Source organism: Homo sapiens, chromosome 5, assembly GCF_000001405.40.
Source record: "Homo sapiens chromosome 5, GRCh38.p14 Primary Assembly".
NCBI lineage: Eukaryota > Metazoa > Chordata > Mammalia > Primates > Hominidae > Homo > Homo sapiens.
The window spans coordinates 18,860,496-18,873,908 of record NC_000005.10 but is presented as its reverse complement, the minus strand read 5'-3'; the positions used below and the strand labels follow the sequence as shown (position 1 = coordinate 18,873,908).

General features: G+C 32.5%; 1 annotated feature.

Moving 5' to 3' along the window:
* Positions 8,122–8,322: a silencer, noted in NCBI's record as "peak5171 fragment used in MPRA reporter construct". NCBI's record gives its function as "represses an SCP1 promoter by STARR-seq MPRAs in K562 erythroleukemia cells {active_cell/tissue: K562}" and the evidence as "EXISTENCE:reporter gene assay evidence [ECO:0000049][PMID:32103011]".

The window sequence follows — 13,413 nt, the reverse complement described above, 5'->3', positions numbered from 1 at the left end:
TCTTTGGTGAAATGATGCCATTTAGAGAAATAAGGACAGGAATTTTTATTTTAAAGAGGATTCATATAACAAACAGGAGTTTTTTTTCTGGGAGAAGAATTAGAATTAGATAACCCCAAGAAAGATGTCAACAGTTGGTTAAAATGATGCCTTTGCAGCTTGTGCCTCAGGCTCCCTACTGAATATTTTTCTTTTGTGAACACAGAAGTCTGTGGATTGCAGTCTTCTGGATTGTGAACACAGAAGACTGTGATTGCAGTCTCTGGATCAAAGCCAAGCTCTTGGGAGACAAAAATCAAGATGGAAGGAGAATCTTATCTATTTTTATTGGTGACACACCACAATTTCCAGATGAAGGCTGATCTGGTAGGAACTGTAAACATACTGGTTTGTGAGGCCTGTTCAAAAGCCAGATTTATAGGAGCTATGGCCGTGTTCTACCTTGTGACTATTCTTCTTATGAAAATCAGTACATTTAAGCAACACAATACAAAACAGAGGTATAATTAGAAAAAGCAGAAAAGAATGAAAGGTACAGCACATCTCCACCAACGATGTTAAATAAAGGGGAACCAATATTGAAATCTGGGTACCAAACTGCAAATAAATAGCTAAGGAACTCAACACCAGGAGAACAGATCTTGGACCTGATGCTGAGTTACTACGCCAGCACAGATTCAATAAACGATTAGCAGCAATACACAAGAAACCACCATGTGCATGCTGTATGGTGATGGTGGCTGATTCAATAGCCTTCGTTTATTCTCATTTAGATAGACTGTTTGTTTTCCTGAAGGCTGCATTGAGACAATGTTTTCACTGCCTTTTTTTTACAGACCCACGTCTGTGACCATGCAGCATGCTCGTGGTGGTTTCTTGAGCATTGTGTGAGATGATATCTCAGGCTGTTTTGATTTGCATTTCTCCAGTGATTAGTAGTGTTGGGCGTTTTTATATGCTTGCTGACCATGTGTATATCTTCTTTTGAGAAGTGTCTGTTCATTTCCTTTGCTCAGTTTTTAATGGAGTTGTCTGTTACATGTTGATTTGTTTTAGTTCCTTATAGATTTTGAATATTAGACTTTTGTCAAGTGCATAATTTGCAAATATTTTCTCTCATTCTGTAGGTTGTCTGTTTACTCTGTTGATTGTTTATTTAATGTGCAGAAGCTCTTTAGTTTAATGAGGTCCCACCTTTCTATTTTTGTTTTTGTCATGATTGCTTATGGAGGCTTCGTGATCAAATCTTTGCCAAGGTCTATCTCCAGAATGGTATTTCCTAGGTTTTCTTCTAGGGTTTTTATAGTTTTAGATTTATACGTTTAAGTCTTAAATCTATCTTGAGTTGATTTTTGTATATGGTGTAAGGAAGGGGGCCAGTTTCAATCTTCCACATATGGCTAGCCCGTTATTCCAGCACCAATTATATAATAGGGAGTCCTTTCCCCATTATTTTTTATTCTTAACTGTCAAAGAGTAGATGGTTGTAGATATCCTTTCTGAGTTCTAGGACCCGCCTTTTCACCTTCATGTATCAAAGGTCTTGACATCAGCTCGTCCATGATTTATCTATGTCTGCAACAAATCACTTCCCTTTTTTGTTCCCTACACCATTGACCGATGGCAGAAGCAAAAATAAATAAATAAATAAAAGAAGTGATTTTTTACTACTCTAGCTCACTCATACCAAACTCAGATAATTTTTAATTTTTTTTACTCATTAATATCGTTTAATTTTTTAAAATTTATTTTTCTACAGTGTTCATACTTGCTTAATTTACCATTTTCTTTCTTAGAGGTTATCTTAATAGCTTCTTGAGGATTGTTGTTTTTGGTCCTGGTCCTTGCTCAAGCTATGATCTAATCTATTGTTTGCTGTATAATCAGAAGGATCTTCCTGTATAATAAATCCTATTAATTTACCTCTCTCACTGTAAGATAACTATATTTTCCTATTAAATTTATGATCTCAAATTATAATCCTAGCAGGGAAACTTTTGACAGTGAAATGAACTATAAACATTACTCACAAGATTAATTAACTTACAGAAGATACAAACCAGAATTTTCCTGGAATATCAAGAAAATTTGATCTTTACAGTAACTTTATAATTTTTCCTGGATCTTTCCTAGTATATGAGAGTAAAGCAGAGAGAAATTAGACAAGTCTTAGGTTACTAGCAAGTCTCTAAATAAAATGAATGTTTATTATCTGGGTTATATTCAATAACTGAATATTGACTGACAGTAAGAAAACCACCCACTGTACAAAATTATGATTAAAAATGCATAATTAAGAATAAATGTATTCATTTATTTGTACAATTTATGGATATATTGAATACACCGATATCTTAATATCTAAAAATCGCATAGTAAGCAACAGCTATGTATCAATAATTTGGCAAAATATTTGCCACCCAGTCAACAAAATACCCAGACAGGATCTGAAGTTTTGTTTTAAAGAAACCCTTACCACATTTGCTTTAGTAATACAAATATAAGTCCTTGAATTGCACCCAGGAGCCAAGAGAAAACTAGCTTCTCTTGTAAGATTTTTAAAAATTTAGTGCATGAACTCCTTCCAGTCAATAAGAAAAGACGTACTATAATAAAATGTGTGGTCAAAGACACAAACCTATAAATAAGAGTAAAATAAAAAACAAATATAAAAAATGACTACTAATGAAAGAAACTGCAAAGTAAATTTTCAAAGAAAAATTAGTTCATTCATCACTTTGGCATGATTAGGAATGCTAATGTTCAATACATTATCAGTGAAATGGAAATTGGAAGAAACATTTTTAGAAGTTGGCCATATGATTCAAGAGTCATAAAAATTGAGTTGTTGAAGGTAAGAGTCATTAGTAGTCACACTAAAGACTACTATTCTCAGGTATTTCATTTGTTTAGCATAACCATACTATATATTTTTGAAAAGTCCATTTCAGAATAGGATGGATAAGAACAAATATTGTCTCTGAACATAGAAGAGGAATGAAATGTTTAGCATTTAGAGTGAAAATTGGCGATTGTTTTCTTGAAAAGCACTGCAATGTGTAGTTTTATCCGTAAACTAACTACATGAACAGGATGGACAAACAAATAAATAAAACAAAAACATTTCAGTCAAGTCAGATAAGAGGGCTCGAATATTAATAGTTTTGTCTTTGAACTTTTAATTACTTACAAAGGTATTTTACATGAGTATCTCATTTATTTATTTATTTTTAGAGATGAAGTCTCACCATATTGTCCAAGCTGGTCTGATTCCCTTGAGCTAAAGGGATCCTCATGCCTCAGCCTCCAAAGTAGCTGGGACAACAGACAACTGCCACCACACCCAGCTCTCATTTTGTAAAGAGATCTAAGATGGAGAGTCATATGATATGCTCCAAAATATTTAGGAGATTTATGAAGAACATTAGTAAAATCAAGCATTTACTAAATCTTGCAATAAATATGGATACCTTTTTAGGTTTATATAACTGCATTCTTGTAATGTATTCCATGACTTCAAACTTTTTATTTTTCTGTGTTTAACCTACCTTGATCATCCATAAAAAATGGATGTTATATTCTGAACCATTAGCTCCTAATAGGTTAGCTTTCTTTTTTTCTGTAGGGTTTGAAAGGCTATACATTGTATGTTATCAAAATAATGTAAAGTGAATTACTTTCAATCAAATTAGCATCAGAGTGACTTTTAGAACTACCCCAAAGCTAATATTTCCAAGGGTGTAGTAACCTAAATTTCAGCACAAGTATTTTATGAATATTCTAGTTGCTGAATATCATTTTGGAAAAGTGTACAATCCATTGTACAATGATTTGTAAGTTTCTGGCCAACAGAATGGATTATAAAAATATATGTGAAATTTTAAAATGCCTCATATCCAATGTAGCAAAAACTCAGTTTTAAGGCAAGTAAATGTTTAACTCAGCTGAGTAGCATGGATTCAAATCTCAAAACTGTTATTACTTTTGAGCTTTTGGGATATATAAGTAGCCAGTATATTATTATATTGGATTTTCCCATGTACATACTGTCAAAAACATAAGAATACAATTTAGCATCTAGCCAGGAATATTTTAATTAAAAATATGAAGTACAAAAACACATATGTTCCATGTTGACAATAATAAAAGGGACACAGTTTCAAAATACAACACATCTCGTGCCTCAACTATAATGTCCCTGTTCTTTAAAGTCACACATTTATGCATACAACTTTATAGCCACAATAATGTACTAAAAGTCAATTATGTAACATCACTTATGCTTTCTTTTGGCAAGTAGAGATCTCTTTTCACAACCAATAAAAGGAAATGAGGCTTTCAAAGTTGCATATAAATAAAACTATTACAGAAATACAAATATAAGGCATATAGCTTCATGCAAAAATATATAACTACAGGCTTACTCAAAATACGTAGGATGTGATAAAAATATGTGATTGATTCTGCATATATATGTTATTTTTAGGTCAAATACATTATTTAATTCATATCTTTTAGTTCAAATATTGTTAGTTTAAATCACAGCTTTCACCTAGTTGCGATTCATGCTAATCTGAGGATGGTTAATTTTCTGTTCTTTTGTGATAGTTTAATATTGGCTATTATTTCATGCTGAAATCAATTGAGTAGAAAGAAGATAACCTTTTCATTCCATTAATTTTCTGTATGATTGATTTGTGCTTATGAATCAACTTTTAAAAAAAGACACTATAGAGCCATGTTGCTGGCTGTAATAGATATTTATAATAACATGTAGCCTACTTTATCTTTAATTATATTTTTCCCTAATGTTTCCTTGTTGTCCTTGGCAATTCCCTTTCTTTGCTAATGTGCTGGCTTTCAATGGAATATTGTAAAGCATAATAATGAGGTGGTTTGTTCAACTTAGAACCATTTTCTCTTTTAAGAGACTTTCACAAAATATCTCTTGCATGTAATTCTGTCTTGCTTTTCTGACTTTCACTCTATTTGCTCTTCTCGGTTACAGAAGAAAAACAAACAAAAATCCTCGAAGAGTTTCACCATTTATTTTTAACATGAACAAATTGAAGAAGGAAGATTATCTCTTCAATGAAAGAGTACTGTCTTCAATATATTTTGTGACGGAAAATGATTTGCAACTAATGACAAATTGGTTGTAATTATAAGTTAGACAATTATATCTATATATTTAAATTTATGTGCAGCTACCTATGCCAGTTCCTTTGATTAAAAGTATTTTTAAAATATTGCCTGTGCTTTAGAATATTCTTGAAAAATTATATACTAGGAGATGGTAGATTTATAATCAGAATGACAATAAGGATTCACTTAGGTTTATTTTATTTAAATAATTTATCAACCTTAGATATGGCCTCGAATGTAGCCCATTTCCTCCTAAGTATATACAATAATTTAGATGCTCTAGTTGAGGTCTTGCATTCCATGACAGGGATTTCAATTAAATGAAAACCTGCAAATCACCTGGAAAACCCCACATGTAACCAGTATTCTACCACTGTGTTCAGATCCACCTGACTCCCTTACTAAAACACCTATCTCACTGTCCTGTAGGTGAAATTATTTGTTGAGGTTTTATTTTTTCTGGTTTATAGGCTATGTTTCTCCTTAGAAAAGGACTGAGCATTCCGGTGCAATGCGGAATGCACAGTAAATGTTTAGTAAATGTTACTAATGGTCAAATGAATAGCTGAATAGATAAATTCCTGCTTGAGAAAGCATTAACCAACTTCTTAGAGGAAGTCTACAAAACATTATTAACTCAAAGTGAAAAGAGATATAGATTGCCTCTACTGGATAACACATTACAATTTTCAAAAGTTGAATGGAAATATATTAATTCCTAACTTTGATAGTAGAAATAATTTGGTATTTATATATTTTCACAAAATAATCGTTTCATTAAAAGATGGAGTTTGCTCTAGCAGGCCTTGAATCATATATCCTACAAGTAAAGTAGCTAAAACGTATGAAGAAAAACTGTAAAACAAATAAAATTTTACATTTTTGCCTCAGAAAAGAGTCTAGTTTTCCAAATAAAAAATGCATACTGAGAACTGGGTCTTAATTTTTCCCTTCCCTTATAATTTTTGAAGCATGTTATTTTGTTTTGAAAGAAAAATTTGCTTTTATAAACACAGTAGTAAAATAGTAAAGCAAATATCTACAAAATTAGCACTAAACAGAGTATCTTGTAGAGGTAGCATTACTTTTAAATAGTAAGCATAGGTAACAGAGAACCTGCATGTTCTCATTTTCTCATTTAGAAAGACCCTATATGTCATTGGTAAAAATCAACTTAGATTATTAGCAAATTTGAAGCCTCGATCTACATCGTTCTCTCTGCCTTAAACACATGAACATAAAAAAGTATGGGACCAAGGTGAGGATTTGGAGCTTGATTTTTTATCTTCTTGTAATTTCTTCCCACCAGTAAGTGTATCAAGAGCTACACTCCAAATTAGAATCTTAACAAATATTGGAGTTAAAAAAGAGCCAAAATATTGGGATTCAGTACACATTTTATTTGCTTTTTCATTTTTCCTTTGATATATTTTATGATGCCATGTATCCTTGTCTGAAAGCAGTCAAAGCATATTTTTTTTTCTGGCCCTGAAACTTCTCTCTTTAATATGCTCCATGCCTATTTTAAAATGTGTAAAGAAACACATGTGAAACACATTTGACTGCATATTACTTGTGCCAAATAACAAGTGGTAATAGAGTGCTTCCCCTGTGGGATACTAGATCGTCATCACTGACGTCTTAAAGCTCATAAAAATCATCATAAATTTAAGCATCATAGTTCAGGGTAGTTTAAGTCAGGAACTGCTCTTCATGCGAAAGTACCTTAGGAATTAATAAAAGTATTTTTTTCAGAAGCGGGAAGGTATGGAAAATAGTTCTTCTAGATGGTATTTTAAATATAAAGTTTATTTCTCTTTTTTCCTCTTCCCTTTTCTCCTCCTCTTTCATTCCTGAACTCCTCTAAAAAAGCCAGTGGGTGGTGCATCAGAAGATAGTCATTCACTCAAGGGGCAGGAAATGGGGAAGCGCTTCCTTTGCTTATAACATGTGTCAGACCTGATTGATAAGCACAGGCATTGGCTTGGGGCAGGGACACCCCATGCGGAAAGTCAGAATTCAGTAATATATAATATAATTGGAGAACAAAGTATCAATTCACATTATCTATTGATTACTGATCTGCTTTTCTAAATTAACATAAGTAAATCAAAGGAAATCTGCAATTATTGAAAGATGAACACAATTTTCTATGTATTCTAAATGATGAGGAAGTTGCATATGACATTCAATAGATCCTATAAATAATATTTTATGTAGGAGCCACATTACTGGAAAAAATTACTCTCTAAAAAGCACTAAAATAAAATGATTAGTCATTTTTTTGCTGGCAAATTAAACAAGTCTTGATTAAGACTGCTCACTTACCCATGAAATTTGCATGGATTTGAGATCCTGCAAAGAAGTGTAAAGTGTCAAATTATATATATTGAACTTTCTCAGCAAGTCAAGTTTTATTTAATATAAGCAATTACAGTTTAAATCATATCATAAAAATCCTCAGTGTGCAGAAGTACAACTCCAAAATAATATCTTCTCTTCACTTTGTATAAAAATGTGTCAGTATTTTCACAGCACCAGTTGTGTCACATAATGTTTTAATATAAAGCAGCTATTTTTGTAGGTCAATGCATTTCTTAAACCAGGGAGACAAATTTCATGCTACTTTATATCTTATATTCTCTTTCATTTTTCAAAACCAAAAATTAGTACATTCCAGGCTATTAATTTACTTTCCATGTAGTTTAAATTTTAGACCATTAAAATGCCAGGCACTCCAAGTTTGTGATTATCACTGCCTTCTTGACTTTCATTATCATAGTTCATGACAAGTAAAATGATTAGCAGCCTACCAATCTCATATGATGGTCATCATTGTAACAATTAGAACTGTACCAAGACTAGAATGACTAAAGTAGTACTTATTTAAATTTAAATAAATGACTTCCAAGTAACCTGTGAACTGTTAGTATGAGACTAAATAAACCTAGGCAACATAGGGAGAACTTGTCTTTACAAAAATTAAAACTTAGCTGGGCATGGTGATGCATGCCTGTAGTCCTAGCTACTGATGAGGCTGAGGTGATAAGATTGCTTGAATCCAGGAGTTTGAAGATGCAGTGAGCTATGACCGTACCACCATACTTCAGGCAGGGTAACAGAACAAGACTTCGTCTAAAAAAAAAAAAAGAAAAGAAAAAAAGAATATATAAGCACACTAGCATGTTGATGCTTCTTTTTCTTGCATTAGAAGCACGGTAGTATTAACTTATGAAGCTGGAGTAAGAGAAAGCCAAAACTTAAGGAAAAATTTAATTATCATCTCATATGTAATTAATGGTGATTGTCAGAGCAAAGAGCTAGGGAAGGAGTGGTGAGTATCTAGTGGTCACTGAGACCATGTGTATATATAAGTGGAAGAACTACATGGAAGGAAACAACTGTTTCCCATCCTCTTTCCTTTTCATATTTCACAAATTACTGGCCATGAGCATTTCTTGAGACAGATTGTATTTAAAATTTTTCATTGCTTTTTGGAGTTAATTCATAGAAATTCACTTTCAATATGTTTATATTGAACAAGTGTGAACAGATACAAAACAAACACATAATTTAAGAGTCTTAGAAATTCTGTGTCTAAAAAGTATGGCAGCCCCAAATCAGGCATTGATTCAACTACTAAACCAAGTAAAACTAGACAAAAATAAACATAATAAAACCTCTCATGAAGGCTATTATTAGCCACTGAAAACTGTACTATAAGACTACAAACTAATACGTGTACAATACGTATTACTGATTTGTAAAGAATAGATAATAAAATAATAGTTAAATTTATAGTGTGCTTACTATTTGACAGAAATTACTTTAAGGGCTTCACACACATTAGCTTACTAATAAAAAAACAACTCTTTTATAAAATATATAAAATATATAACATTAATTTATCTAAGATCACACAACTAGGAAATACTTGATAAAGAAAAGTATAGGTATTCCTATATTAGAACCTAGTGGAATGATGTTTCAGTTATATAACTGAATGACTTTACTGCTGAAGCTATTCTTTTTTCTCGAATTATTAGTGAAAAAAAACCTACAGGAAAACTGCCACAATGCAAACAAAATAATAATGTACCTTTACAGATTTGGGAACCCACAAGTGTGTTGATATTTATGTGTTCTGAATACAATGGTAGAGTGCTTAGAATGATATTAATTTATAATAAAGAGGCTGTAAAGACCATATAGTTCTCGAATTCTTACACTGAGACCTGTGATTCTTTTCAAATTGTGTATGAAAATGTATGTTTATGTTCTATTTTCCAGATAAGAATACGGACCTTTAATGAACTTTCAGTGCAATTAATAAGATAACATTATGAATTACTTATCTTAATATTCTTTTACATATGAAAAAACTGAAAGCAGAGAGAATTTTTTGGAAGCAAGAGTAAGATCTTGTAATGAACAAATCAGAATTATTCATATTAATTTTAAGTACTCAACATATAAACATTAAAAATATATATCTACTCATGCAAATTGTTAATAACATTTTCAGTGATTACATTTATTTGTGTCACCTTTTTCTTGAAAAGGCACCATAGCGAGTCCTGGATTCGTTAATAATTTTAATCTTGGTGTGTTAGCCATGCTGCAAAATACCTCCAATGACAGAGACGTTACACTTGGGTGACTTGCTATGCATAAACATCTAACTCATAAAGCTCTTGAATGGTGGGTATGAATTCTACCTTAGCTAATGTAGCCCAAATGGTTAATTAAAAACATCTTCTTGAGAAAAGGCCTCAAAATCATCCTCTAATGGAGAAAAAATCAACATCAGAAAATATATGGATTGTTTTTAAAAGCATACACATTTTTCCAATGGGTAGAAAGTAATCAGCTTTTCGGTCCTTCTAAAAATGAATATTTAGATATCAAGTCAATTTAATATTCTGGAAAGACTTTGCTACTTAAAATACATACATTTAAGAAATACATATACTTATCATTTTATTTTCATCTATGGGTTTTTAGGCTCACTGGAGTCTGATGTTAAAATTGTCTGGTCTTGAGTCACTGTCTATTTCTGTAATATTATTGCGGTCTCCGTGCCCAGGATTTTAGTGTTCACAATAACACTGAACAAAGATATAGCTTCATTCTATTTTTCATGGAAATGAAATTGTCCAAAAAAGATTTAAAATACAGTTTTCATTGTGCATGTCCACTGAATTGTCAAAGATATCTTAAGAATTGGCCATTTATTCAATATGTAGAATAGCCTCTCGTTTTTGTGCCTCAAGGCCACTAGAACATATAGTTGTAAAAGGAGATTTTCTCATACTAAAATGTGAGAACTTCTAATGCAGTGTGCCTTTAAAAAATAGATGTATTTTTGTCCCATTTTGAAGAAAGCAACTATTTTCTAAATATTATGTTTAGAGTCCATTTCCATGTTGTAAAGCTCCCAAGTACTTCTGAAAGAGGATCTCTTGCCATTTATGATATTGGAGCCTAATTCAAAACCTTTTTACAGTGAAAAATAGCATACCATAAGGTAATAGAAAAAAATTCTTGAAGCTCAATGCATTTTTCCATTTTTAGTCCACTTTTCTAAAAGAAATACATTTTCTGTCCATTTATTTCCAAACATGTTACTTGCTTTTCATTCCTTTTTGCCTCTTTCTGAGCAATCTTCAAGGAACCCACGGAAGTACCTAATTGAGTAAGATATTATGCAAGAGTAAATTAAATAAATGCCTCCAGAAAGCCAAAGTAGACTAGAGTAAATTCAGAAATTCTTGAATATCAGTTGAACTGATTAATGCTTTGGTAATTCTTTGATTGATCTACTCACTGAAAATAACATTCTTGGATACTAAAAAAAAATCATTAATGTGTAAAATTTTCACAAGTAATTTTCCTTCCCTTTTTCTTTAAGTTTTCTATTTTTATGACCTCTTGTACATATTCACATTTATTGGTTCATCATTCATTCATCTCTTCTACATATTCATTGGTTCTTTTTTAAATAACAGATTTATTGAGAGAAAATTCATACACGTTATTTTTCTGTCTTACTACTTCCAAGAATCACATTTTTGAGAGTCTCATTTTTGTTGTGTCTAGGCCTATGTCTCTTCAAGTTTATCCTCTTCGGTTCATTAAGCTTTTTAGATGTAGATGAAAGTTTTTTATCGAAATTGAAAAAATTTCAGCTATACTTTTTCAACTATTTTCCTGCCCTTTTTCTCTTTTCAGTAGATGTTAGTAAGCTTCATGGTGTCACACAAGTCACTGAGAGTTTTCTTTTCATTTCATTCTTGCTTCTTTCTGTTTCTCCAACTAGATAATCTCAATTGATCTCTCTTCTTATTTGGGGATTCTTTCTGCTGTAAGTTTAAATCTTCTGTTGAGCCACTATAGTGAATTTTTCATGTCAGTTACTTCATCTTTAAACTTCAGAATTTAAACATTAGACTTTCCATTTAGTACTTTATACAAAATAATTTCTATCCATTTATTTATATTCTTTATTGGTGAAACATAGTTCTTATTACTTCCTTTAATTTTTTAGATATAATTTCTTCTGGTTTTTACACACATCTTTAATAACTGTTTAGGTCTTTGTCTCATAAGTCCAATGTCAGCACATAATTAGGAGTAGTTCCTATTGACTGTTTTTCCTGTGTATGAGCCATACTTTCCGGATTCTTTGTGTATCCTACAGTGTTTTGTTGAAAACTAGACATATTAAGTATTTTGTTGGTGCTAAAGTAATTGCAATTTTTGTCACTACTTTTAATGGCAGAAAACCGCAATTACTTTTCCATCTACTAAAGTAATATAATATGAAAACCCATGGAAGCAAGTCCTTCTCCCCACGGTTTGTCATTGCTGCTGTTTGTTGTTGTGGTCATGGTGGTGGTTTCTGATTATTTAATGACTTTTCTGGACTACTATAAAATCAGTACGTTTTGTTGTGTGCAGTCACTGAAGTCTTTGCTTAATTAGCTTGATATTAATTTAATGATTACACAGTCCCTTAAATGCTTGAAACCAGCAGGTCAAATAGCAGTTAGTATTTGGTGAGGAATTCTCTGCGTGTGTCAGAGCATACTTTCACCATTTCAACAGGTGTTTTAAAACCTTTAGACAAAAAAATTATTGAGATACAAAGGCTTAAATTCAGCCAGAGGTGAAAAGGCCTTCTTAGGTCATTCTTGGGGATTTTTTTAGCACTGTACATGTGCATGACTTCTAGACTCTCAGAATATATTAGAGATTTTTGAAGCTCTCTCTTGTCCTCTCATGTCCCAGTTTTCCCTTTTACATTTTCAGATAAGTCCCTTATCAGCTTCATGTGGAAATGGCACCTTAGGAAGCTGCATTGTTAAATAATTATGCTATTTTTTGTTTCATCTTTTTTTTTTTTTTTTGACAGACACCTTCTGGATAACACTGTCCACATAGATTGATTTCTGACTCAGGTCAAATAAAGAGAAACAAAGACTTTCAGTGAGCTTCCAGGTCAAATAATGACAATTCTGGGGCTGAGGTTTATGAGTGGTTGAAATTCTGTCCTTTTCAACAGCTGTTAAGCTACTGCTTTACAGCTATCAAATTTGTTACACTGTTTTTTTGTTGTTGTTGTTGTTTTTGTTTTTGTTTGAGACAGAGTCTTTCTCTGTCCCCCAGGCTGGAGTGCAGTGGCACGATCTCGGCTCACTGCAAGCTCTGCCTCCCGGGTTCACGCCATCCTCCTGCCTCAGCCTCCCGGGTAGCTGGGACTACAGGCACACGCCGCCACGCCCGGCTGATTTTTTTGTTTTGTTTTGTTTTGTTTTTTGTTTTTTTAGTAGAGACGGGGTTTCACCGTGTTAGCCAGGATGGTCTTGGTCTCCTGACCTTGTGATCCGCCTGCCACTTTTGGCCTCCCAAAGTGCTGGAATTATAGGTGTGAGCCACCGCACCTGGCCTACACTTTGCTTTTTAAAGGCTACTACTTTACTGGGAGAAAGGGAGCTAAAAGTGCAAGTTAGAACACCGTAGAGCTCACCGTTGTTTCCAAGATTCACACATTTTTTTTTCCTTTGAATGAACACTCCTAAAATTCTTAAACTTAATTTTTGAGTTCTAAAAATTTGTTTACTATGGTTTTTGCCTTTCTTTCAAGTTTTGTGGAAGAGAATATTTTTGGAATTTCTTGCTCTGCCATTCCAGAGGTCTTCCTCCCCATTGATTCTTCTTTCAATAAACATTTAGGAATAGTAATATGTTTTTTCTATATGAAAAAAC